The sequence below is a fragment of the Homo sapiens genome, chromosome 4 (genome assembly GCF_000001405.40).
Source record: "Homo sapiens chromosome 4, GRCh38.p14 Primary Assembly".
In the NCBI taxonomy this organism is placed as follows: Eukaryota; Metazoa; Chordata; class Mammalia; order Primates; family Hominidae; genus Homo; species Homo sapiens.
The window spans coordinates 84,848,100-84,874,805 of NC_000004.12; the positions used below are offsets into that span (position 1 = coordinate 84,848,100).

The 26,706-nt window shown below is 37.6% G+C and overlaps 1 protein-coding gene across 29 annotated transcripts in view, besides 3 other annotated features; it reads right to left on the reverse strand.

Moving 5' to 3' along the window:
- Positions 1 to 26,706, reverse strand: part of WDFY3 (WD repeat and FYVE domain containing 3) — a 297,094-nt gene that overhangs the window by 178,503 nt on the left and 91,885 nt on the right. For all 29 annotated transcript variants that reach the window (XM_011531759.3, XM_047449858.1, XM_011531763.4 and 26 more), the window contains 2 exons: positions 12,313 to 12,523; positions 1,803 to 1,926 (listed from right to left, as the gene is read on the reverse strand). In XM_011531759.3, the coding sequence (XP_011530061.1) occupies positions 1,803 to 1,926; positions 12,313 to 12,492 (304 nt within the window). In that variant the 5' untranslated portion in view covers positions 12,493 to 12,523. The remainder of the gene's footprint in view (positions 1 to 1,802; positions 1,927 to 12,312; positions 12,524 to 26,706) is intronic.
- Positions 8,268 to 8,898: an enhancer, noted in NCBI's record as "OCT4-NANOG hESC enhancer chr4:85777520-85778150 (GRCh37/hg19 assembly coordinates)". NCBI's record gives its function as "activates a minimal SCP1, AML or CMV promoter by ChIP-STARR-seq in naive H9 embryonic stem cells {active_cell/tissue: H9 hESC(naive)}" and the evidence as "EXISTENCE:reporter gene assay evidence [ECO:0000049][PMID:30033119]".
- Positions 21,769 to 22,303: an enhancer, noted in NCBI's record as "OCT4-NANOG-H3K27ac hESC enhancer chr4:85791021-85791555 (GRCh37/hg19 assembly coordinates)". NCBI's record gives its function as "activates a minimal SCP1, AML or CMV promoter by ChIP-STARR-seq in naive H9 embryonic stem cells {active_cell/tissue: H9 hESC(naive)}" and the evidence as "EXISTENCE:reporter gene assay evidence [ECO:0000049][PMID:30033119]".
- Positions 22,304 to 22,837: an enhancer, noted in NCBI's record as "OCT4-NANOG-H3K27ac hESC enhancer chr4:85791556-85792089 (GRCh37/hg19 assembly coordinates)". NCBI's record gives its function as "activates a minimal SCP1, AML or CMV promoter by ChIP-STARR-seq in naive and primed H9 embryonic stem cells {active_cell/tissue: H9 hESC(naive and primed)}" and the evidence as "EXISTENCE:reporter gene assay evidence [ECO:0000049][PMID:30033119]".

Below are 26,706 nucleotides of genomic sequence, written 5' to 3' on the forward strand. Positions count from 1 at the left end.
ATTCATGAAACTTTGCCCAAATTAAAGGATATGAATAACCAGACTGAAAGAGTTCAATGAGTACCCAGCACATGTATAAAAATAGGTCTACCACAAGGCATGTTATTATGAAATTTTAGAAAAGCAGGGACAAAGAGAGGATCCTAAAAGCTTCTAGAAAAAAAAAAATAGGTCACAGAGGAAAAAAAAATCAAGAATCTACGTAGCTTTCGATTTCTCAATAACAATGTAAGAGCCTAAATTATAAAAGAAAATTTTTTAAATTCTGAGACAAAATGATTTCCCACACAGAACCTGATACTTACTTAAAGGATGACTGATAATAATGCAAGCAGCAAGATTTTCCAAAATGACCCTGAGTGCTCATCCTGGGCTGCATGGAAGGACAGAGCTAAGACACCCACCACTGACCATCTCAACCCATGGTCAACTTTCCCAGGCAATTAGTAGCTTCTAATCTCTGCTAAGAGGACCTCCTGGATTACACAGCTAGCATTCTCAAACAACTCCTATAAATATCTAACAAGTATTCAATGGCCTAAGTCATAGGCAGTTTAAATGTCTCTTTACTAACAAGATTACTCTTGAGCTTGTCCTTTAGGAATGGAGAACAATGGGGGATGGAGAGGAGGAGACAGAAGTATCTCTCCATTTAAACGTAAACCACAGCTGTGTATTCAGCACATCTCCCCAGCACATGTATCTGTGAGATCATGAGAGTCGTAGATATGTGTCTTCTTGTCTCTTATTGACCCTTGGTTTTGTATTAAATACATTTCCTTTTCTATAATAATCATGCTGTATGATGTAGTGGAATTTGTTCTAAGTCCTGGCAGCTGAAAGGTTGTCAGGCTAAAGGTATCACTTTACTTACTGAAAAGAAAAGAACCCATTTTTCACAGCAATAGTCAAAAAATGTTTAACTCAGGGTATGTCTAAAACAACAAGCAGAACAAAACCCTAATAACTCCCCTGTATCCTTTTTTATAAAGCTGCTGGAAAATATGCTTTACCAAAATTAGGAATTAAGGGATTCAGGAAACAGAATCCACCCCCAAAAAATGAAAAGGCATCCCAGGACAATGTGAATAGTGATGTTAAAATGGCAGCTGTGCACTGGCCTAGAGAGCAACTACTACAGATGACACAGAGACCCCTAAGTAGCTTATGGTCTACTGGGAAGATCAAGACACATGCACAATGACCACCCAGGAGGTTGAGAAGAAAAACAGTAGTTCAGAACAGAAAAAAATTTTCTTTGCCTAAAGAAATCAAAAAGCATTTCATCAAGGAAGCATGACTTAATCATGCTGACATTTAGACATATTGAAATGAGGAAAGATTCTCCTTCCTCAGTGAAGCATTCTAAGTAAATGATTAAAATAAGAGTATACACATGTTTGAAGACTACAGACAGCTGGATTTGGTTGAAATACAGAAAAGAAAACAAGCAATAGAGCAGGGTATGCTAAAAAAAAAAAAAAAAAAAAGACCAGATGATAGCTTTGCCTTAAATTTCATGCTGAGGAATTTGTATTTTGCTCAAAGGGAAACAGAGTATTTTAAAGGGTTAGGGTGGAAGTGGTAGTGGTCCAGGCAGAGTAGCCTTGAGCAGAACTACTGGAGAGTTGAAGATGCTGAAACCAGGAAAAGAATGTGACTCTAAGAAAGGGAAAGGGAATGGGTAAATGAACTCAATGTGCTGAGAACAAGGTCTGTTTTCCATTTAATTTTAATGGGACTTTTACAGAACTGCTTGTTCATTCAAACAAATCAGTTTTTGCTGGCTACTGTAAAAATACCTGTGGATTTGTTTGATGCTCTCCTTCGAATTTCTGTCACCATTAGTCGTGAGACTTGTGTTGTGAACTGCAGAAGATCAGAAAATTTTTCTGTCATTGTATTCGGCGGAGCATTTCCAAAAACCTGTAGATAAGAAAAGACATTGTTAATGAAGCACTGACAAATTTTTCTTTTTATTTTGTGAATTTTCAAGTGTGGTATGACTTGAAAATCAAGTCCAGAAAAGTCTACCTACACAGTTACTTTGAATCTTAATATGTTGAAAATACAACGCTTTCAATAAATCACATGTCTAGCCACATTTCCTTTTACATATAAATTTGTTGAAGAAATGATTAAATAAATGAAATCTAAGACCCATAGACATTATTGATAAAATTTGAATCAATCTCACGAAAAACATTAGAAATTATAACGTTTCTTTTTTTTTGGGGGGGACAGATTCTCACTCTGTCGCCTAGGCTGGAGTGTAGTGGCACGATTTTGGCTCACTGCAACCTCTGCCTTAGGTTCAAGCTATTCTCCTGCCTCAGCCTGCCAAGTAGCTGGGACTACAGGTGCATGCCATCATGCCTGGCTAATTTTTGTATTTTTAGTAGAGATGGGGTTTCACCATGTTGGCCTGGCTAGTCTTGAACTCCTGACCTCTGGTGATCCGCCTGCCTCAGCCTCCCAAAGTGCTGGGATTACAGGCGTGAGCCACCACATCCAGCCAACATTTTTCTGAGGAAAGCTAATTTGAGAATTTAGAGAAAAGTTATAAAGGATCTTTGATGGAGTACAGGCACACTGGATGGTGAAAAGCAGCTCTACTGCTAAATCCCAGGCTGACGTCAGAATTCACTAAACTCATTTCATGTCTCAGAATTTCCTCAGTCTAATCACAATAATTTACAAAACAAGGCTGTTACCAAAAAAACTAGAAAACAGAAATGGGAGGGTCATGAAACAAACTTGTTTTTACACAAATTTTAAAATAAATGAGCTTTAGAATAAATAATTCTTATTTTTAATTTTATTTATCTGTTTTTTTTTTTTTTTTTTTTTTTTTTTTTTTTTTTTTTTTTGAGAACTGGTTCTTGCTATATTGCCCAGGCAGGTCTTGAACTCCTGGGTTCAAGCTATCCTCCTGCCTCTGCCTCCCTAAGTGCTGGGATTACAGGTGTGAGCCACTATATCCTGCCTAAAATAAATAATTTTTAAAAATAAATGGGTATGAGTTCAGCAAAGAGAATTTGAGAAAATGAAACCTGGACAGACCATCATAAGAAAAGAAATGGTATTTTAATGGGTATATAACTAGATATATCCTGAGGTATTATTTTAAAGAATATTCTTTATAGCTGAAAGGAAATTCTCTATATTCTAAGGCTATTATAGTATCTCTCCCTTTTAACAGTCATTACACAGTAATTTATATTATTATTACCTATTGAAATGTCACTACAAAAGGAGAAAACATAATTTACTCAACTTCATATTCTCCCAAGCCAACACTCTGCCTTTTATAGTAATGCTCCCTAAATATGGTTGTTTATTTATATGCTGACTGCCCTCACAATCAAATTCTAGAGAACATTCAGGGAGCACTGAAGGAGAACATGAGAACATAAACTAAAATCAAGAAGGAAAACAAAACAAACAAGCAAATAAAAGACCCAGCTAGGGAGATGGACTGGAAAAGAAAACTAAATAAAAATCTAAGACTGGAAAGACCTCTATATTTTCCATGTATTGGTTACAAATTTTGGCTCAAAGATACAGAAGAGAAAACCTGATCAATCACATCATTCACAATGCCTTTAGCATGAAAAAATATATATATTTAAGGAAGTAGTTCTATTCCTCATATTATACTAGTCCCCCCTTATCTGTGAGAGGTAAGTTCTAAGACCCCACTGGATGCCTGAAACCACGGATAGTACCAAAGCCCGTAAACACTGTATTTTTTACTATAATACATACCTGTGATAAAGTTTAAGTAATAAATTAGGCACAGTAAGAGACTGGCAACAATAATAATAAAGTAAAAAAATTGTAATAATATACTATTCACAATTTCACAAATACAAGATTCCTTCTTATTATAGATCTCAAAAACCTCAGCACACAGTTTTTGGTCTTTCCTTATTAAGTCAAGAACTTTTACCTTTTCACTTAAAGGAAGGACTTCTCTCTGGCATACACAAGTGGCCAACCCCATAACTTTTGCACTTTGGGGCCATTATTAAGGAAAATAGAGTTTCTTGAAAACAAGCAGCTTGATACCAGGACAATAGGTCTCATAACTGAGGCTGCTACTAAGTGACTATTGGGCAGGTGGCCCATAAATCATGGATACACTGGACAAAGGAATAATTCACATCCCGGGAGGGATGGAGCTGAATGGTGTCAGATTTCAAACTTATGAATTGTTTGTTTCTGTAATTTTCCACTTAATATTTTCAGACCACAGATGACCAAAACCATGAAAAGCAAAACCATGAATAAGGAGGGATTACTGCATAATATAAACAATTCCTTCCAAAGATCCCAATAAAAGAATATAACAAACAATGTAATATCCTTCTAATAGAAAATGTGTTTCTTACATGTTTCTTATAACCTCCCTCAAATTAAGTTGAAAATGCTAAAACAATAAATAAATTCTACAAGGGTATCGTTTTTTCCAGACACCTAGTCTGTTCAATAGTTTGACAAATGAATAATTTGTAATAATCTCAAAATCTCAAAAAATAAACTGTACTTTTCAATACTTCCTCAACACATTTTTTTCCTGAGATTTTGATAAATGTTGTGTGCTTAGAATTAACCTATACTACTTGTTAAATAATCTATGTTACCTGTTAAATAAACCTCCCCTTTTTTTTTTTGAGATAGGGTCTTACTCTGTCATTCAGGCTGGAGTGCAGTGGCGCAATCATGGTTCACTGCTATCTCAACCTCCTGAGCTCAGGTGATTCTCCCACCTCAGCCTCCTGAGTAGCTATGACTACAGGTGCCTGCCACCACACTCAGCTGATTTTTGTATTTTTTGTAGAGATAGGAATTTCGCCATGTTGTACAGGCTGGTCTTGAACTCCTGGGCTCAACTGATCTGCCCATGATGGCCTCCCAGAGTGCTGGGAATACAGGCATGAGCCACTGTGCCCGGCCAGAAACCTCTATTCTTTAACAAACTGAAGACTGATAAAAATTGAGAAACCTAATAATGACACATCTTTGAATAGCCATTCCACCTGTGCTCAGAGATGAGTACATAGCCTTTTGTTATTGCTGTTGAGACAGAGTTTTTGCTCTTGTTGCCCAGGCTGGAGTGGTGCAATGGCACAATCTCGGCTCACTGCAACCTCTGCCTCCTGGTTTCAAGTGATTCTCCTGCCTCAGCTTCCTGAGTAGCTGGGATTACAGGCACCCACCACCACACCCGGCTAATTTTTTTTGTATTTTTAGTAGAGATGGGGTTTCACCATGTTGGCCAGGCTGGTCTCGAACTCCTGGCCTCAGGTGATCTGCTCATCTCGGCCTCCCAAAGTGCTGGGATTACAGGCGTGAGCCAACTCTCCTGGCTGAGTACATGGTTTTTTAATGGAGGTGTTTATAATATTCCTATTACTCAGGGTGTATCAATGTATATTTTGCTCCTAAGAATTAGTATGAGGTATTTTATTGCTAATAGTTATTAGGACAACTAAACAGAACCAATAGCTCATTTCTTGAACAGTTGTTAAGGATATAATTATTCAACCAGTCTTCATGCTGGGTAAATAATATGCTGTTGAAAATGCCAGTAACTTTTTACACAAATCCTGATGTTTACTGCTTTATTTCCTCTAAGAAATGTTCTGACAAGATAAATAAAACTGGCTTGAATTTACCAACCCAAAATCAGTACTACAGAAAAAGACTATGTCATATTTGCTAATCTGAAATGAACAAGCATTGCTTCTTAAATAAGGTTTATTCACTCACAAATATTTATCGACTTCCTAGTATATGTGCCAGGCAATGTTCGAAGGGTCCTGAATACAAAGGTAAATAAAACAAATATGATTCCTGTGCTCATGAAACACAGGACATTTTAGCACAGAAGACCAGTGGTAAATAAGTTGATTTTAAAATTAAAATTATTTAAAGATAGTATTATGAAGAAAGTAAAATAGGGTAGCTGAAAGAGAATGCCTGGGGTGGGAAGAAGGTTGTCAGGAAAGGTCTTTCTGAAGAAGCGACACTGGTGCCAAAGGATGACACTGACTAATGAGGAAAAGTTACAATCCAAAGAGACAAGGAAAGAGGGTTGCAGGCAGTGAGATCAGAGCTGTGCAAAGACCTCAAAGTGAGATTGATTCTGGGGTGTACAGGAATGAAAATGAGGCTGATAAAGCTGGGGCATTTTGTATAAGAGGAAAAATGGTACAAGATAAGGTTGGAGGGATAGAGGAACTAAAGCATGAATCTGACATTGTAGGTAATACTGAATGGATAAGGTAGCAAAGAAAATAGTGTAGTTTTGGTGATTGACTTCAACAACTGAATCTAAAAATATTATGTATGTGTTCACTACTTTCAACAAGTAGTGGTATTTCTTGAAACTATACAATGCTTCCATCATTTACATAAATGTTTGCCAAAGAGGATGCAGCATGAAGCTGGGTGTCAGAAGGTGTAGATTCTACTTCTCACTCTCAGGGAGTACTGACTACTTGTCAAATTTTTCCAGTTCTAGGCCAGGTATGGTGGCTCATGCCTTTAATCCCAGCACTTTGGGAGGTTGAGGTGGGTAGATCACCTGAGGTCAGGCGTTGAGACCAGCCTGGCCAACATGGTGAAACCCCATGTCTACTAAAAATATAACAATTAGCTGAGTGTGGTGGCACATGCCTATAGTCCCAGCCACTTGGGAGGCTGAGGCATAAGAATAGCTTGAACCTGGGAGGTGGAGGTTGCAGTGAGCCAAGATGGTACCATGGCACTCCAGCCTGAGCAACAACAGAGCCAGACTTGGTCTCAAACAAACAACGACAAAAAATTTCTGGTTCTGCAGAGGAAGAAAGTTGGGCAAGAGAACTGGCAACACATTCAACTCAAAAGGGCTGATTCTAGAATACATATGTGAAATTCATAACAGATTAAAAAAAAGGTAATGAAGAACAAAAATGACTTCTTGCAAATTCACTGGAAATAACAATTACCATATAATACCCATTTAAAATCTGCGTAGCACTATTCAAGAACTTGGTGTCATTTAAGTCTCATAAAATCCTACAGAATAGGTTCTACTAGTAGCCTCATTTTACAGTTAAGAAAATTAAGAGTTAGACAACTTAACTTAAAACAGGAGGCAATACAGACAGAATTTAAAACTACATCTATCTGATTCCAAGCCAGGCTCTTCATCACTCAGTACTATATTTTTCTCAAACTGTGCATGAACCCTATCACTAAACTGTGCATAGTGTTCATCTTTAGAGAAAAATAGCATGGTTTGACTTATTTTTAAAATAATCATTTTTAATATCCACCTAAATAGATTTCAGAAGATTTCCTGGCACCTCTTCAACCAAATATTTTTGGCACTCAGGGAAAGCAAATTAATGGTGTTATCTAATGGCATTCATAAAGGCTCAATATAAACTTGTTACTGAATAGTGCTATTCAATAAAAATATATTAAATATGACTAATAAAAGAGAGGTTGGAATGTTTACAAAGTTTTTAAAAATGGAGGCTTTTGTTTCCTAAATATGTGTTATATCTAAAATTAAGTCAGACTATGGACCATCATTAGTCCTAAAATAATTTGCTATAAATAACAATGTTAAAAAATTAACAATGAAGATGTAATTGCATTATTTCGTATGGTAAATCAGTTAAGATTTCTTATCAATTAATATAAATGATTAGGGAAATATTTATCTTATGCTCTTTTTGTTTCTATGAAGGACCATCAGATGAGAGTCTGAGAAGAACAGAATGCCTAACTCAGTCCCGTCCTCTCCTTCCGGGCTTTGCCTGCCTCATGAGAATATGCATTCTCATCTGCTCTGGCTGTGGCTTGCCACTGTCCAGTTCTGCCAGTGACTGGGTAAGTAAACATGACTATTTCAGGGCTGAATTCAGCAAGTCCTTTGTTGCACAGACCCAAGCCACATTCTCCAGTATCAACTGTATTGGTATTATGTAATAAGTAATAAAGCTGCCACAAAATAATTCACCTGTCTGCCTTCTGATCTCTCTCTTATTTGGTTCTAAGTTTGGGTGACCTCTCTCTTAAGTCAACAAATTAAAAAGTAATGATAATTTGTAAGGGATTAAAAAAGGACACTGTATTACATTTACATGCTTCTCAAATATAAATTGGAAATAAGTTAAAAAATAAGGGGAGTTTCTTACAAAAGATCTAATTGGTAAACATTACATTTTAAAATACACAGCAAAATATAACAAATACTACAGTAATTAACAGTGGCAGTTATGAATTTTTAGACAACTAAAATGCTACTCATTTTGAGTAAGTTTAAACCAAATGTTTTCTTTGTCAGCTTTTGTTCTTGGGACTAAATGTTAATTATTTTTAAGAATGCTGAATAAATATTATTCAGCTATTTTCAGACTTCACCATAATCTTTCAGTTTGAGCAAATCAGTAAGAGGGAAGATAACAGCAGCCTCCTTGTAGGACTGTAATGAAGACAACAGGAGGCATTTCAAGAACCCAGCATGAGACCTGGCCCAGAAAAAAGACTTAATACATGTCATTTCCCAACCCATGTCTCTCAAAGGCAAAAATCATGCACTGAAATAACACTATTAAGCACACTTTAAAAACTAGTCTGTAGCTAGATGTCCATGTCTAACAGCTTGTTCACCATTTAGCTCTAATCAAGCAAAGTCTCAAAAATCAACACTGCAATTCCTTTTTAGCAATCATGGTAAGAACTGGTTGGCTCTAGCAACATACTGAGCTATTCACTCACCATAGGTATTTGTCACTAGTGGACAATGTTCAAGCACAAACGGCCAAATGTTAAATAGATATGGCTATATATTTCTAAATTTAATGGAAATGGTATCTAAGAACAATTTTAGTTTATTAATTATATCCAATTAATAAGAATTATTTTTAAAATAATACATTTTTCAAATTAGTCACAATGGTACAGATATAACTTTCTATCTTTTCATTAGTTAAGAGTTTACTGAACCTTTGTGATATCAAATCACTCATTATATTAGAGTTTTAAGGCATTGCATACACATATGTTTCTAATCAACCAATTAAAAACTTTTGAGAGAATTTGTTAATAGTTAATGAGACTTACAATAACATAGGACATAAGATAACTAAGTCAAACATTTTAAGTAGATAGAGAATAATTACTAAAGCATCTCATATCTACTTATTAAAAAAACAAATAGTCATGAGATTCTTCTAGTCTAGTAGACTGTGGAAGCCTAACTGATAAAATACATGGGATACATATATATGTAGGCTATTACTTAATAATTCATGTTAATAGCCAAGAACAATTCCCCTAACTGCTCTAAACATTCTCATTACCTTGTAAACATTCCTAAGTCTGACAGAAGGAAATTACCTCAAACTCCTCAGTAGCCAACAGCACATCATGACGTTAAAGTAAAACAAAAATAAGATTTAAAAACAAAACAAACTTCCAGATAACAAAAATTATTAACTTCCTGGTAATAAAAATTAGTAACTTCCCTGAATAGGGCTTAAAACAATGGCTTGTCATAGTTCTCTCTCCCATTTTTAAAAGAGCTATTTTAAACCTTTCCCCACCTCTTCTCACGTTCCTACTCTACCATCTCCTCCCTCTATCATTCTCAGCAGATAATCTATCCTATTATTTCATAAGTAAGGAAATGTACATTCTATAAATGCGTTAATGTTTCTATCCTCTTCTGTTGTATCCAACACAAGCTCATGGGTGATATGTGAACTAACCTTCCTGGCACTCTTGCCCTTCTGCCTTACCAGCCTATACAAACCTCAATCTCAATAAATCAGGTATTGCTTTCTCTACTTTTTCACACAGGCCAGTACTGATAAGGTTTAGTATAAATTTATCATCTCCAACCTTCACTGAGCCATCAATACTAATCAATTCTTTTATTGCCCCCTTTCAACTCTTTCTTTCTCATTCATTCCCTTTCACTAGTATTTCCAACAACAAAAATAATAAATTCACGTAACAAAAACAATAATAGATACAATAATAACAATAATAGGTACACATTTCTTGGGACAAACACTTATTAAGTGCTGTAAGTATATTATCTGAATTTAACCCTCACGACAACCCAATAAGGTTGACATTATTATTATTTTACAGCCCAGAAATTGAAGGTGACTGTTCCTCCCCAGTGCAGTAGACAACTAGAAGTCTAGTTCCTTACGAGGAAGAAGAGAGATACCACCACAAATCAAAGACAAGAACACTGATATGTGAACACTGGAGATTCAGTGATAGTCTATCTACTGAACATGAGACATACTAAAAAAATAAATAAATAATAGTAAAACAACAAAGAATTCAAGGAAATTAAAACTGTGATATTAATAGCACAACATTACTCTAAAAGAACTACTGCTTGATTGACAGAGGTCCAGAAAAGGGGGAACATATAAGATATAGAGGAGAATATTCTCAAAGAAATATTTCAGAATATTTACCGAGACTGAACAATACAAGTTTTCAGATTAAGAAGGCTTAAGCTGAAGCCACAATAAAATTTCAAAATAATGAGAAGAGGAAGAGCCTAGAAAATTTCACACAAAAAGATAGATGAACAGAGAAAATAATATAGACAACAAGTGAGACTACAGGGGACAGAGCCAGTCAGAGATTGGGGCACGGGGTGAGGGGGTGGGTGTGGAGAAAGGCATCGTCAGGGGCATGGAGATAGATCTGGAAAAAGGGGAGAAGAAAAAGAGACAGGGGAGAGTCAGAGACAGGGAAAGAAATAGGGACAGAGAGGAGACAAAGAGAGAAATGGGAGGACAGAAAGACAGTGATGGAGAAGAGAAAGAGAGATGAAAGGCATAGAGAGAGACAGACAGATAGGAAGAAAGAAATGGAAACAGGGGAAGGCAGGCAGACACAGGATAAAAAAGACAGACAGGGCAAGGCAGAGAAGATGTGGGAGGGACAGAGAAAGGAGGAGGAAAAAGAGCGAGAGAAGGGAAACCAAGAAACAAAGACATGCAGAGAAAGAAATTGAGACAGGAAGTCTGAGGAGAACAAGTTCTATAATAATGGAAAAATAAAGGTAGTATAGTATAAGGTTCATCTTTGAATAAATTTAAATTTATATCACTGTCAGTAGAGAGCAAACACTGAATACTGCTTACACAAGTAGCCTAACTATAGGGAAAGGATGAGGAGGGCAGCATGTATGAATGAGTGTATGTATGTATGTATGTATGTACATTATGGTTTGGAGGGAGAGGAAGTAAAGAAGCTAATTCTTATATTCCTCAGTAGGAAGTCAATTAAAACTACACAACAGCAGTAAAAGTATGTTATTTAAAAGTCTTTCATGGCGGCAGCAATTAGTGGTGAAGAGCAGGAGGGAACCTATAAGCCTGTGAAACTATCTGACTTTTTAAAATGATGTATTTGTGAACTTCTGATAAACATAAAAAAGTTATTATTATTATTATTTTTGAGACAGAGTTTCACTCTTGTCGCCCAGGCTGGAGTGCAATGGCGTGATCTCAGTTCACTGCAACCTTCGCCTCTCGGGTTCAAGCGATTCTCCTGCCTCAGCCTCCCGAATAGCTGGGATTACAGGCACGTGCCACCACGCCTGGCTGATTTTTTATTTTTAGTAGAGATGGGGTCTCACCATGTTGGCCAGGCTTGTCTCAAACTCCTGACCTCAGGTGATCCACCTGCCTTGGCTTCCTAAAGTGCTGGGATTACAGGCGTGAGCCACCACGCCTGGCCTAAAAAAATTGTTATTTTAAAAATACCCAACAAGATTGCTACATGTAATTTACAAAACATATGAAAACATTAACTCTATTTGAATTATCTATAGCCTATAACTATCCTCTTACAGCATCTCTTAAACAACAGCAAATTGTAATGACTTTTTAAAGTATACAAAGGGCTTGGGCAGTTGCACCATTTGGTGTAATAAAATCATCACTTTAACAGATAACAGAAATAACACAATTGATAATTTACAATCTATTCCTCTTCCAAATCTCAACCATAACAGGGCCATTTTAGACAATGGCTCACAGCTTGCACTTTATCTGTTAAAAATCAAAAAGTCTCACTAAATGTAGTTTATTCTGACCAGGTTTCACATCAAGTCACACTGCTTTATAGCAAATTGAAAACATGAAACGAGAACACCAAACTTCTTAAAACTAACTCAGCCTATCATTTTTTTCTACCTATGGCTTACCAGTAACCTTCAGATTCTTGTAGTGCCCCCCAGTCCCGGAAGGTGTGTGTCTGGCAACCTGGACTTACCCTGTTAAACACTGGCAGCATCATATACAGTTTCTCTTCTTGTTCCTTCTGAGTCATGTGCCGGGGAGGATGGCACAACTCCGTGAAGAGCCGGCGGAGGTGCATCAGTCCTAAGGCGTTGTCTTGTGGGCTGCACTCCTCCTGCCTCGGCCGCCCCATGATCCTCTTCACCATGTTCATCTTGGCTGGTTGGTGAGACGCACTTCTAATTCTGTAGGAAAATGTCAATACATGAACAGTCAAAACATCATCATCTTGACTAGGTCAAGCATGCATGTAAGAGCTTATAAGAAATTTGCAAAATAGAAAATTCTGTCTAAAATATATCTTTCTACTTCTTTAAACAGAAAAGACAGAGAAGCAAAATTTGATAAATCCCCCTGAAGGGCAAATTATGAATCTCAGCATTGGAAGTTCTTACTCACTTTGCCACAATTTGTATAAAATGTAAAACATTAATCAGACAAGTAATAAATGTTTCCAATTAGTTTAGTCATATCAAGTTCAAAAATAAAGGCGCCGGGAATAGTGGTGCACACCTGCAATCCCAGCACTTTTGGAGGCCGAGGCCGGTGAATGGCTCGAGCTCAGGAGCTCGAGACCAGCCTGGGCAATATGACAAAACCCTGTCTCTACTAAAAATACAAAAATTAGTCAGGTATGGTAGTGTGCGCGTATAGTCCCAAGTACTCAGGAGGCTGAGGTGGGAAGATAACTTGAGCCTGAGAGGTTAAGGCTGCAGTGAGCCAAGATCACGCCACTGCATTTCAGCTTGGGTGACAGAGACTCTGTCTTTAAATAAATAAATAAAATAAAAACATAAAGAGAAAGAGATCACAAAACTATTAATGGATTTCTTAATGGTTAATGTAAAAATAATGAAAAAACAAACTTTACCCAAATCTCAAAACATCTAAGACAGTCAAAAACCCCAAAACCTCACAAAATTTTCTATTTTTAGTTATTTAATTTATAATTACTTAATTTTTTTGCTAGAAAATTCAAGTATACTTTGAGTACATGAAGAATAGTGTATCTTATAGATTAAAATATGCAAATTGAATATAATACTATCCTACTTTATCCTATAAATCATAAAAGGACAGTGAAAATGATCATGTGACTGAAAACTACTTTCTAAAACTATAGTTTGGTAAGTCATGTTAAATCATTTAGTGGATAATGATGAGCATTTTTCAAAGAAGTGAAATAGAATAGAAAAAAATAGAAGATAAGAAAAGAATAACTTGTTTCATGAAGCTTATTTCAGATAAAGGTGTATTACTGTGTACTGAATCATAATGCAAAATGTATCCCTTGCTGGAGCTGCAGTTAAAAAAATACACAAACTAACCATTGAGTTAAAGTATACACAGAATCAGTAACAGTAAGCTTTCAGAAAGCATCATTACCCCTTTTTAACCACTACTAATGATGCCAGCAATTGGCTAAGTGTAGACACAAAAACAGGATATCTTACAAAAGGAACCAGGAAGGCTGGGAGGACATTCTGGGTATGCAGAATTTGGATGAAGGGCCATTTACTTTTTAATCCATAGAAAAGCAGGCAACACCTGAGATTAATTTTTAATTTTGCTACAGAACCACATATGCCAGTATGCCATTTCTTAAGAAATGAAGGACTACAGCAAGGTTAGAGTTTTATTTACTAAATATCTGCCTACTGATTTTTAAAACTAAGAACAAGAATTTCAAACACACTTGCCCTTGAGAATTTTGAGTGAATTCCATACTTGACTACGGGCATATGCTGAGGCACTGTAGCTAACAGGAGGACACGATGTAACTCATCACAGGTGAAGAGGAGTCAGACAAATTCTGCCTAGAACTCTGCCAATGGCTTGTTTGCACTGAATAACTACTGTGCAGAGAGCACTGAGCACACTCTCAAGTGCCCAACTGCTGGAAACAGTGCTAACACATAGGCAAAGGGCTGGGGGGAGCATTTAATCTGCAAAATAACAGAAGTTAGTCCAGTTCAAAGATGTCCAATGTATCTTATTCTTGAAAAATATGTTTTCCAAATATAAATATTTCAACAAATATGTTCCAATAACCTACTATGTGCTGGTATTTACAGTCCTGGAAATCCCCAGAACAAAACTTAAATTTGAAGTGAACTATAAAAATTTTATAAATTAGCTAACATTTTAGATTATGTATAGTTCTGCTCCTTTTCCTTACCCTGTAGCTAGAGTTGATAATCTAGAGATAGTGGATAGGACTTAGGGGATTCATGATACTCCAACACTTCAAAAAAAATTTTTTTTTTCTGCTGGGCGCGGCGGCTGACGCCTGTAATCCCAGCACTTTGGGAGGCCTAGGCGGGTGGATCACGAGGTCAGGGGATCGAGACTATCCTGGCTAACACGGTGAAACCCCGTCTCTACTAAAAGTACAAAAAAAAATTAGCCGGGCGTGGTGGCAGGCGCCCACTCTCTCCAGCCCCTGGCACCCACCATTCTACTCTCTACTTCGGTGAGTTTGACAATTTTATAATCCACATGTAAGTGATATCATACAGTATTTGTCTTTGCATGACTGGTTTATTTCACATTTAGTATAATGTTCTCAAGGTTCATCTGTATTGTTGCAAATGACAGCACTTCCTTTTATAAGGACGAATAATATTCCACTCTGTGTGCTGCACACGCACACATACATATCTGCTTTTCTTTGTCATTCTTCTGTCAAGGGACATTCAGATTATTTCCATATCTTGGCTTTTGTGAATAGTGCTGCAACAAACATGGGAGTGCAGGCATCTCTTCAAGATACTGATTTCATTTCCTTTGGAAATATACCCAGAAATGAGACTGCTGTATCATAAAGATAATTCTATTTTTAATTTCTTGAAGAATCTCTAAACTGTTTTCTAAGGTGGCTATACCAATTGATATTCCCACCAACAGTGTACAAGAGTCCCCCATTTTCCACATTCTGGCCAACACTTTCCACCTTCTGGCCAACATTCTCGCCACTCTAACAGGTGTGAGGGGATATCTTATTGTGGTTTTGATCAGCATTTCCCTGATGATTATTAATACTGAGCACCTTTTCATATACCTATTAGATATTTGCATGTCTTTTATGGAGAAACATCTACTCAGGTGCTTTCTCACTTTTTAATCAGGTTATTTGAGTTTCGCTATGAGTTGCATGAGTCCCTTATGTACTTAAATTATTACCTACACCAATATCATGAGGCTCTCCCTGTTTTTACCTAGTAGCTTTTGGTTTCAGGTATTATATTAAAGTCTTTATTCCATTTTGAGTTAGTTGTTGTATATGGTGTAAAATAAGGTCTAATTTTATTCTTCTGCATGAGGATATCCAGTTTTCCCAACACCATTTATTACAGAGACTATCTTTCACCATTCCATGTTCTCAGAACCCTTGTTGAAGATCAGCTGACTGTAAATGCATGGATTTATTTCTGGTGTCTCTATTCCATTTCATTGGTCTATATGTCTGTTTTCATGCCAGTACCATACTATTAAGATTACTGTAGCTTTGTAATATATTTTGATATCAGGAAATGACACTTTCAGTTTTTTTCTTGTTCAAGACTGCTATGACTATTTGGGTTCTTTTGTGGTTCCATATGAATTTTAAGATTTTTTTTTCTATTTCTGTAAAGAATGCTATTGGAGGCCAGGCGCAATGGCTGATGCCTGTAATCCCAGCATTTTGGGAGGACGAGGTGGGCGGATCACCTGACGTCAGCAATTCAAGATGAACCTGGCTAACATGGTGAAATCCTGTCTCTACTAAAAATACAAAAAATTAGCTGAGCATGGTGGCACACACCAGTAGTCCCAGCTACTCAGGAGGCCGAGGCAGGGAATCACCTGAGCCTGCGAAGCGGAGTTGCAGTGAGCTGAGATGGCGCCACTGCACTCCAGCCTGGGTGAAAGAGCAAGACTCCATCTCAAAAAAAAAAAAAAAAAAAAAAAAGAACAAGAATGCTACTGGAATTTTTGATAAGGATTACGCTTAATCTACAGATCATTTTCGGTAGTACGAACATTGTAACAACATTAACTCTACCAATCCATGAACAAAAGAAATCTTTTTATTTATCAATGTCTTCTTTAATGTCCTTCATCAATGCTTTATTAAAGTGTACAAGTCTTTCACTTCTTTGATTAAGTTTATTTCTACGAATTGCAGTCTTTCTATTGCTACTGCAAATGGGATTGCTTCCTACCTTTAAGAGAGGCCCCCAAGATAACAACTCATTCAAAGTACGATAGTGAAATAGAACTTGGATGAGAATCCAGGCCTTCCAACTCCCAGTTAAGTGGCCTTCACCAGGCTTACTTATATTAGGTATCAATTTTAAATTATAAAATACTTGGAAACTGTGACTCTAGTTAGCACGTTTATTTATTTGGCATCAGGTAACAATCAGAATGTGAAAATAATCTTTTTTGAGTTTTCTGAAATACATAAATCTTTTTTTTTTCTTTTGAAACTGGTTCTCGCTCTAATACCCAGTCTGGAGTGCAGTGGTGCAATCACTGTGCTCACTGCATCCTCGAACTCCTGGGCTCAAGTTATTCTCCCTCCTCAGCCTCCCTAGTAGCTGGGATGACAGCATGCACCACCATGCCTGTCTAATTTTTGTATTTTTTGTAGAGACATGGTTTTGTCCTGTTGCCCAGACTGGTCTCAAACTCCTCAGCTGAAGCAATCTGCCTGCCTCGGCCTCCCAAAGTGCTGGGATTACAGGTATGAGCCACCGCACCTGGCCTCAACTTTCATTTTAATTTTAAAAATACACATGATCACATTATGACAAATACTATCTCACTATATATAACCCAGCTATTGCAATATGGTTATTTAATATTTTATCAGATACAAAAGGATACATACCAATCAGAAGTGACAAAGATTCTCTCCTTGACCAAACTCTAGTTAGGCTCTTCTGAATTCTCCTCTCAACTAGGCTTGGCTTTTAGCCTTCAGTGTTTGTCTCTACATTGTCCAATTAGAAACCTGCTAAGTAAGTTTAGCCAGAATTCCCATCCTAATATCTGATTGGGTGGCCAAATCTCCCGCCATCCTCCAGGTGATGGATGTCTGATCACCCTGGCCTGCCTTCGGCAAAAATCTTGTTAGGTCAGTTTAGCCAGAAGCCGTAATGTTTCCTCTCAGTAATTTTCTATCCACTGACTGCCCCCCAACCCCAGCCCTGCTACTTGGCTATAACATGACCACTTTTCCTTGTTCTTTTCCAAGTTGAGCCGAGTCTCTCCCTTTCACTGCAAACCCCACTGGAATGATCCCTACATCTATCATGATGGTCTTGAATAAAGTCTGACACGTTGCTCTTTTACAAATGCCAGAGACCAGGCACAGTAGCTCACACCTGAAATTCCAACACTTTGGGAGGCCCAGGCAGGCAGATCCTTTAAGCTCAGGAGTTTGAGACCAGTTTGGGACACATGACAAAACCCCATCTCTACAAAAAATACAAAAATTGGCCAGGCATGGTGCTGCATGCCTGTATTCCCAGCTACTAGGGAGGCTGAGATGAGGGGATTGCTTGGGTCTGGGGACATAAAGGCTGCAGTGAGCCATGAGCATGCCACTGTACTCCAGCCTGGGTTACAGAGTGAGACCCTGTCTCAAAAACAAGTGCCAGAATGAATAATTTTTTAAACAGGAGCTCAGTGGGTTTACTGGTACTTCTCAATTACTCAGATAATCTCAATGATGGGGGAAAAAATCAGATTCCTCCTTTGCTCCTAATGTACCAAATAACACTTCAGCATATCAGTTTTCTGAACCATGGTGGGACAGGATAATAGGGTCTGGAGACAGGGCATCTAAGGCCAATATGTGTTGACTTCGTAAAGATGAATCAAGGTTAAACACCAAGGTCTGGGGGCAAGAGATCTAAGGCCAACTCCTGCTGACTTCCCAAAGGTGGATCAAAAAGAAAACACCTGGGTCTGGAACTTCCAAAAGCTAAACCAAAAGGAAATGCCCCATCTCCCCAGGCCAGAGTAGCAAAGGATCAAAGGCTATCTCCCTAACCCTCCCCTTTCCACCACGTCCTAGATGGAAGGGGAAAGTGCCCTGGATGGGCTGTGGGCCAAGCTCAGGCCATCCCTTCATCTGCATAGGGCACCAATTCACCGCAGCCTTTAATTAGCCATGGACCAAATCCTTCATCCAGATAAGGGGTAGCTGATAGGGACCTCAAAAGGAACACTTAAAACCCAGAAAACTTTGTAACCAGGCCCTTGAGCCACTTGCTTGGGCCCACTCCCACCCTGTGGAGTGCTTTCTCGCTTTAATAAATCCCTGTTTTTGCTGCTTCATTCCTTCGTTACTTGTGCTTCATTGCGTGTGCATTTTGTCCAGTTCTTTGTGGAAAACGCCAAGGACCTGGACATCTCACACTTCAGGCCTGCTCTCTGGTAACCATGGCTTTGTCTACATTTAAATGTTTACATTTAAAACATAATTCAGACGAAGAGGTAACATGTCTAAAATATTCTTCAGCAGTGAAAGAGCAGAAAGAATAGGCACTTATCAAACCTTTATAAACACACCCGTATAATAAATCAGGTAACTTCAGGAGAAAGGCTCTAAACACCCTTGAATCTTGAGTTTCTTTCATTTATAAAATCTTTCCTCATGAACTTTTTATAAAACTTAAATAACATCATTTCTGTAACATGCCAAGCACACTAGTTACATTCAATAAATGTTATCTTTTCTTCCTTTACCTTGATCATGAAACATTTAATTTTTATATGCATTTTTAGTTATTTAAACAAGCAAAGCAAAGGAAATACTATAAGCCCCTACAGTGCTATGTTTTAGAGACTTGCAAAATGACACAAAAAATTAAGGAATAATTTATTTCTCAGTTGGATGTAGAATAAGAGGTTTAGAAAGCAATAAAGAAAAGATATGCAAAATAAGAACAAACCACAGAAGAATGTTTTCGCTTAATTTTAATGTTAGTAAGCGTTTTCAAACTATTTATAAGGATTATTGTGTATAAGAACTGGCTTTCTAATACAAACCCTATTTGGGTTCATAAGAAAAAATAATGTTAGGACTGCCAGCAGGGGCTTATTTAAATAGCAATGAGATAATTACTGCAAACCCAGATAGTATTTCTTAATCTAATCTCTTATGTTAATAAGAGAAAACCACTTTAAACTTGCTCACCCAAAATCATTTAAACAGTTTTCCATTACTTAAATCATGATGGGTATAGATCAAGTAAATAGGCTAAATTTTTAAAATATATTTGTCAAGTAACTAGCTGCGTTTGAGTAGCTCTGCTGAAAACTTTAAATAACTTTCCTAACTCTTTAATTATATAAGCGAAGAAACAAAACACACTAGCTACATTCAATAAATGTAATGTAAGCTCATATGGCTAAGTGAAATCTTACAGTTTCATCAAAGAATTATAAGCAATTCCTGCCGGGCGCAGTGGCTCACGCCTGTAATCCCAGCACTTTGGGAGGTCAAGGCGGGCAGATCACAAGGTCAAGAGATCAAGATCATCCTGGCCAACATGGTGAAACCCTGTCTCTACTAAAAATACAAAAATTAGCCGGGGATGGTGTCATGCGCCTGTAGTCCCAGCTACTCAGGAGGCTGAGGCAGGAGAATGGCTTGAACCCAGGAGGAGGTGGAGCTTTAAGTGAGCCGAGATCATGCCACTGCACTCCAGCCTGGGTGACAGAGCGAGACTCTGTCTCAAAAAAAAAAAAAAAAAAAAAAAAAAAAAAAAAAAGATTTATAAGCAATTCCTGAGGTTTTCCTTTTTCTTTCTTCTTCTTAATCTTTCTGGAAAATCCTTTACTTTGAAAAGCAAAGGCAAACCTCTTATACTTTTTAAGAATAAAGGCAAAACTCTGAGATGATCCCAACAAACTGGGTATATAAACCAGCAATCTAATATGTACAGTACAAAACAAACAAACAAAAACAAGTTCTACATATAGTCCTGAATTAGAATTTAAAATTTCTACCTTCTGAAGCATTAAGTTTTCTGTCTTTCAAGGAGAGTCATTATCATATTTTAGCCCAGACTATGAGATACTACAAGATTAGCCCAGTCTATGGACCCATCATACTATATATACCCTGAGCTACCCAATTTCTCAGATTTATTTAAACATTTTTTGGTGTGCTTAATTTTTTTCCTACAGAAAAACATATTCCAAAGCCAAAAGCAACTCACCTCCATTTAAGAATATTTCACTTACATAAAATTTACAACAGCAACTGTTGAAATCTCCCTGCTGCCTTTCTGGAACCCTTTCTACAACAGCTCCCACCGCTATCTTGGGAGCGGAAATTGCAACCACTAATAGAAGCCCTAAAGGTAGATTTATCTTAATAGTTAAAAGGCAGTTAGGTTACTTGGTATGATTAATACAGTATAATTCAATTATGTTATGGAATAAATAAACTTTGGAAGGCTGACCTGAGATCCCCAGCATTCTCCGAGTTTTTATACATATGTTAAAATTTTGTATAAAAGATTTGCAAAAGGATTCTTGTAACGCAATACTTCCGTAAAATGTGACTGCATAATACTGACAAGTTGTGCATTCTACATACGTTTGCTAACCTGTAGTTCAGGTCATTTAGCTTGGTAATCACTGACCAGTATCCTCAGTGGAAGGCACAGTACAGGGAGAGTGAGCTCAGGAATGAGATGCACTTCAGCTGACCTAAAACTTACACAAGATATATCCCAGATCTTGGCATCATTAGGAATTTATTTCTGACATCTCAAATTCCAAAATCTCACTCTGGTCTTTTAATCCATCTCCCTTTCTCACTCGCTGAATCTGTGGTCTTCACTAGAATCACTTATCCTTTGACTTCTCCCAATTGTTCAATAGAGGTGAGACTATATTTAATTCTCATCAGTATCTTCACGCCCCCTGCATTCCTGGCCTATACACCTTCTCAACATGTATTCATACCTCCAAGAACCCAGCCACATCATTTCTTCTTTTCTAATTTTGGGTTGCTGGGTACTACAGAGAAAACTCTATAATTCTGCAGACTGGTTACAATAAAAAGTTATTATTTTCTACTTCTTTCCATAAATAAAAACTAATAATTCCAAATAGATTAAAGATGTCCATGTAAAGAAACAATACAATATTAGTAGCAAATATAAAAGGAATACTTATACTTTAGAGTAAATCTTTAAAAGGGAAAAAAAGACAAACTTATGGCCAAAAATACCACAAACTTAAAAGATAAGAAACAAATAGGCAAAAAATATTTGCAGCCCTTCTAACAAAGTATTAATAACTAGGATATCCATGGAACTCAGACTCAACTACCCTAGAGCATAGTAGATATGGAATACAAATAGACTACTCCCAGTAAAAAACACTACACAACACATATGAAGAGGTACTTAAAATCACTAATCCAAGAAATGCAAATAAAAACAAAGTACAATTTTTCATCATTACTTTGGTAAAACTAATAGGATTTCTCTTCATAGACAGCAAGAAGTACTAAGTAAAATGGAAATTACTACACATATAAGTCAACAAGAAGCTATCCTGTAGAAATATTCACACAGATCACAAAGATGTCATACAATGTGAATTACCGCATTATGTTATTATAATCATTTGCGATACTGAAAAAGTTGGAAACAGTCTAGTCCTTTAACAGATCAATAGGTAATTCACGGTACATCCATGTCATGGAATACTGTTAAAAGAACATGTACTAATATGAAAAGAAAAGTTAAATAAAAAACAAAATAAGGGATTTAGCACCAAAATGTAAAGAGCTTTGAAATCATCTCCTGTTCTTACACAAAAAACCACTGGATCAACTCTAACTCAAGGACTTTTCTTGGACCCATCAAAGAACTGAGGTCGCAGGGCAAACAAACCCCAGAAATCCAGAGTCACAGGTGAAATCAGCCTACCTGGATAAGAAGTCTCTGCAGCCATGAACTGGTAGGAACACCTCAATGGTAAGTGGGACAAACTGGTGGTGGTTGAAAGTGGACTAGCATGAGAGGGAGAAATGCCGGGACCACAACTTTCCAGGGTTGCAATCACACTAGGTTTTCAAGATCTGAGAAAGATCCCCTCCCTGGCTCAAGCAGAGAAGGGGAAGAGTGAGTAATCACTGTGAAATGCTCTCAGAGTATTCTCCATAACAAAGGCCTACACTGCAGGATGAAAGATTTTATCAGAGCCTTATCTTTCCTGGGGGAAGGGCATTTCTTCCACTCCAGCCCCTTTGCCTTCTGGTCTCACTTGAGGTCCAGGAAGGGAAAAGGAAGAATAAAGGAAGCAAAGCCCAGGGGAAACACTTGGAAGGTCACAGCCCAGAGTCCAGGTCCACTAAAACACTGATATTTAGTAATAAGATTATAAAACATTTCCCCTTCCTCCAAACTTTCACCATACCAACAGGGCTCTAAAAAAAAAAAAGAAATGCTAGAAATCAAAAGCACTCTAACAGATATGAAGAATGCTTTGATAGGCTCAGCAGTAGATGGATACTGCTGAGGAAAGAGTCAGTGAGTTGAAGATAGGTCAACAGAAACTTCTAGAAAGAGAAGGGAGCAACAGCATATTTAAAGTAATAATGACAAAGAACTTTGAGAACTTTGCAAAATTAATGACAAACACCAAACCACAGATACAGGAAGCCCAGAGAACGCCAACATGATAAATACCTAAAAGACTACATGTAGGCATATTATATTCAAACTGCAGTGAATCAAACATAAAGAGAAAATCATGGAAGCATGATGAGGTAGGGGGATAACAGGAAGGGAAAACACAGTATCAAAAAAGGAACAAGGATAAAAATTATAGTGGGCTTCTCATCTAAAACATGCAAGCAAAAAGAGAAGGAGTGAAATAGTTTAAACATTAGGAGAAAAGCCCACCAACCTAACATACCAATTTCCCACCCACCAAATTCCTAGGCATTCTATATCTAATAAAATTATCCTTCAAAAATGAAGAAAGAATAAAGACTTCCTCAGATAAGCAAAAACTGAGAGAACTTGTTGTGAGGAGATCTTCTCTGCAAGAAATGTTAAAAGTTCTTCAGGAAGAAGAAAAAATGATAGGGGTCAGTAAATTGTATCTATATTAATGAAAGAAAGAACACTGGATAAGGAATAAATGAAGGTAATATAACATTTTTATCCTTTTTTTTTTCTTTTTTCTTTTTTTGAGACAGGATTTCACTCTGTTACCAGGGCTGGAGTGCAGGTGCAATCCCAGCCCACTGCAGCCTCAAACTCCCGTGATCAAGTGATCCTCCCACCTCAGTCTTCTGAGTAGTTGGGACTACAGGAGCATACCACCACGGCCAGTTAATTTTTGTATTTTCTGTAGAGCTAGGTATTTGCCATGTTTCCCAGGCTAGTCTCAAACTCCTGGCTCAAGTGATCTGCTCACCTCAGCCTCCCAAAGTGCGAGGATTACAGGCATGAGCCATCATGCCTAGCTTTTAATTATTCCTAATTGATGTAAAAGATAACTGAATGTTTAAAAATAGCAGTAATGTGTTGGATGATTATAGCTTATGAATAAGTAAGATAAATGGGAGCAATATCACAAGGGAGAGGAGGGAGGAGCTGGTAATGCTATTGCAAGAAACCTGCAGTATACCTCAGTGATACAAAGTGTCATATGAAGGCAGATCAAGATAAGCAAAAGGTGAATGCTGGCATCTAGGGGAACCATTAAGTTTAATATGCTGCCAGGCGCGGTGGCTCATTCCTGAAATCTCAGCAATTTGGGAGGCCGAGGTGGGCAGATCACGAGGTCAGGAGATTGAGACCATCCTGGCCAACATGGTGAAACCCCATCTATACTAAAAATATAAAAATTAGCCAGGCGTGGTGGAGGGCGCCTATGGTCCCAGCTACTTGGGAGACTGAAGCAGGAGAATCGCTTGAACCCTGGAGGCAGAGGTTGCAGTGAGCCGAGATTGCCCCACTGCACTCCAGCCTGGGCAACAGAGCTAGACTCTGTCTCAAAAAAAAAAAAAAAGTTTAATATGCTAAGATAGGAGATTAAAAGAAATCATAGAAAATGCTGTTAAAACCTGAGAAGGCAAGAAAAGAAGGGAGGAAGAACAAAGAACAAATGCAACAAATAGAACACAGTTACAAACATGACAGATATTTATCCTACTAAATCAATAATCATTATAAATGTGAGTGGTCTAAATACACCAATTAAAGGATAGAGAATGTCAGAGGGGATTAAAAACTCAAATCCCATAGACAATATAGTATCTATATGAATGTAACTTTAAACATAAATAATCAGATAGGTTAAAGGTAAAGAGATGGAGAGAAATATACCATGCTAACTCTAATCAAAGGAAAGCTGGATTCTATTGACTTACCCTTGAAATAAAAAAGATTTTTAAAAAAAGCAGGATGCAGTAGCTAAATTAATTTTACAAGATGTAGTCTTTCGGATAAGAAAATAGTATCAGGGATAAAAAGAGGCATTATATACCGACAAAGGGATCATTTCTCCAAGAAGACATAACAATCCTTAACGTGTATAGGTCTAAAAGGAATATAAAAATATGTAGGGCAAAAACTGAACTGAAGGGAGAAAGAGACAAATTGATTATTGGAGTTTGAGACAGCACTCATACATTAATTGATAAATCAAGCATGCAGGAAATCAATACATATATAGTTTACCTGAACAGCACTGTCATTAAACTAGATCTACAGTTGACATTTATAGGATACTTGATCCAACAACAGCAGAATACACATTCTTCTCAAATTCACGTGAAACATTCACCAAGACAGACCACACTCTGTGCTATAAACACACCTTCACAAATTTAAAAGAACAGAAATCATACAAAGTATGCTCCCAGGTCAGAATGGAATTAAAAGAGAAATTTGGAAATTAAACAACACACTTCTAAATAAACATATGGTCCAAAGACTGGTCAAGAGAAACTGAAACACATTTTGAACTAAATGAAAATACAACTTATCAACATGCATAAAATGCAGCAAAAGCTGTTCTTTGAGGAAAAAATTTTCCTCACAGAACTAAATGTATACATTATAAAAGAAGAACGATCTAAGGATTAATAAACTACACTTCTACCTTAGGAAACTAGAAAAAGAAAAGTAGTTTGAGCTTAAAGAAAGCAGAAAAAAGAAATAATCAAAATTAGGGCAGAAATTATTGAAACTGAAAAAAACAGAGAAAATCAATAAAACCGAATGCTTGCTCTTGGAAATGATCAGTAAACTTAGTGTAAATCTCACTAACATATGACTGGTGTCTTGTTCGTTTTTTTGTGTTTTTTTTTTGTTTGTTTGTTTGTTTTGAGACAGGGTCTCAATCTGTAACCCATGCTGGAGTGCAGCGGTATGATCAGGGCTCAGTGTAGCCTCAACCTCCTGTACTTAGGTAATTCTCCTGTCTCGGCCTCCCTAGTACAAGGCTACAGGCATGCACAGCCACGCCTGGGTAATTTTTGTATTTTTTGTAGAGATGGAGTTTCGCCATGTTGCCCAGGATGTTCTCGCACTCCTGGACTCAAGCAATTCACCCGCCTCGGACTCACAAAATGCTGGAATTACAGGTGTGAGCCACCGCCCCAGGCCTGGTGTCCTGTTCTTACAGCTCCTAAGTTATCTTCTGATAAACCAAGCAGAGACCGGGCGAGGTGGCTCACACCTGTAATCCCAGCACTTTGTGAGGCTGAGGCGGGCGATCACCTGAGGTCAGGAGTTTGAGACCAGCCTGGCCAACATGGTGAAACCCTGTCTCTACTAAAAATACAAAAATTACCCAGGCATGGTGGCACACACCTGTAATCCCAGCTACTGGGGAGGCTGAGGCAGGAGAATTGCTTGAGCCCAGGAGGCGGAGGTTGCAGTGAGCCGAGATTGTGCCAATGCACTCTAGCCTGGCTGACAGAGCGAGACTCTGTCTCAAAAAAAAAACAAACAAACACAAAGCAGGTATCATACCACTTTTCTGATTTAAAACCTGTTGATTCCCTATTGTCTAAGAATAAATTAAAATACAATTTTCAGCATCATTTACCAGTAAGCCACCACCTCTTTCACTCTAAATTCTGCCACACTGAAAGTATCTCCCAGACTGTTAGGCCCTTTCAGTCCTCTATGTATTATGTATATTGTTTTCTCTGCTAATGATGCCCCCTCCTCTGCTTTTCCAAGTAGTCTAAAACTCAGCTCTAAGGTCACCTTCTCAGAGAAGTCTTCCCCAAATCTCCAGGCAAGTTTGTTGTTCAGCTTTTGGCCTACCATGAAACTTTAGTTATACAGTCATGCGTTGCTTAACGACAGGGATACACTCGAGA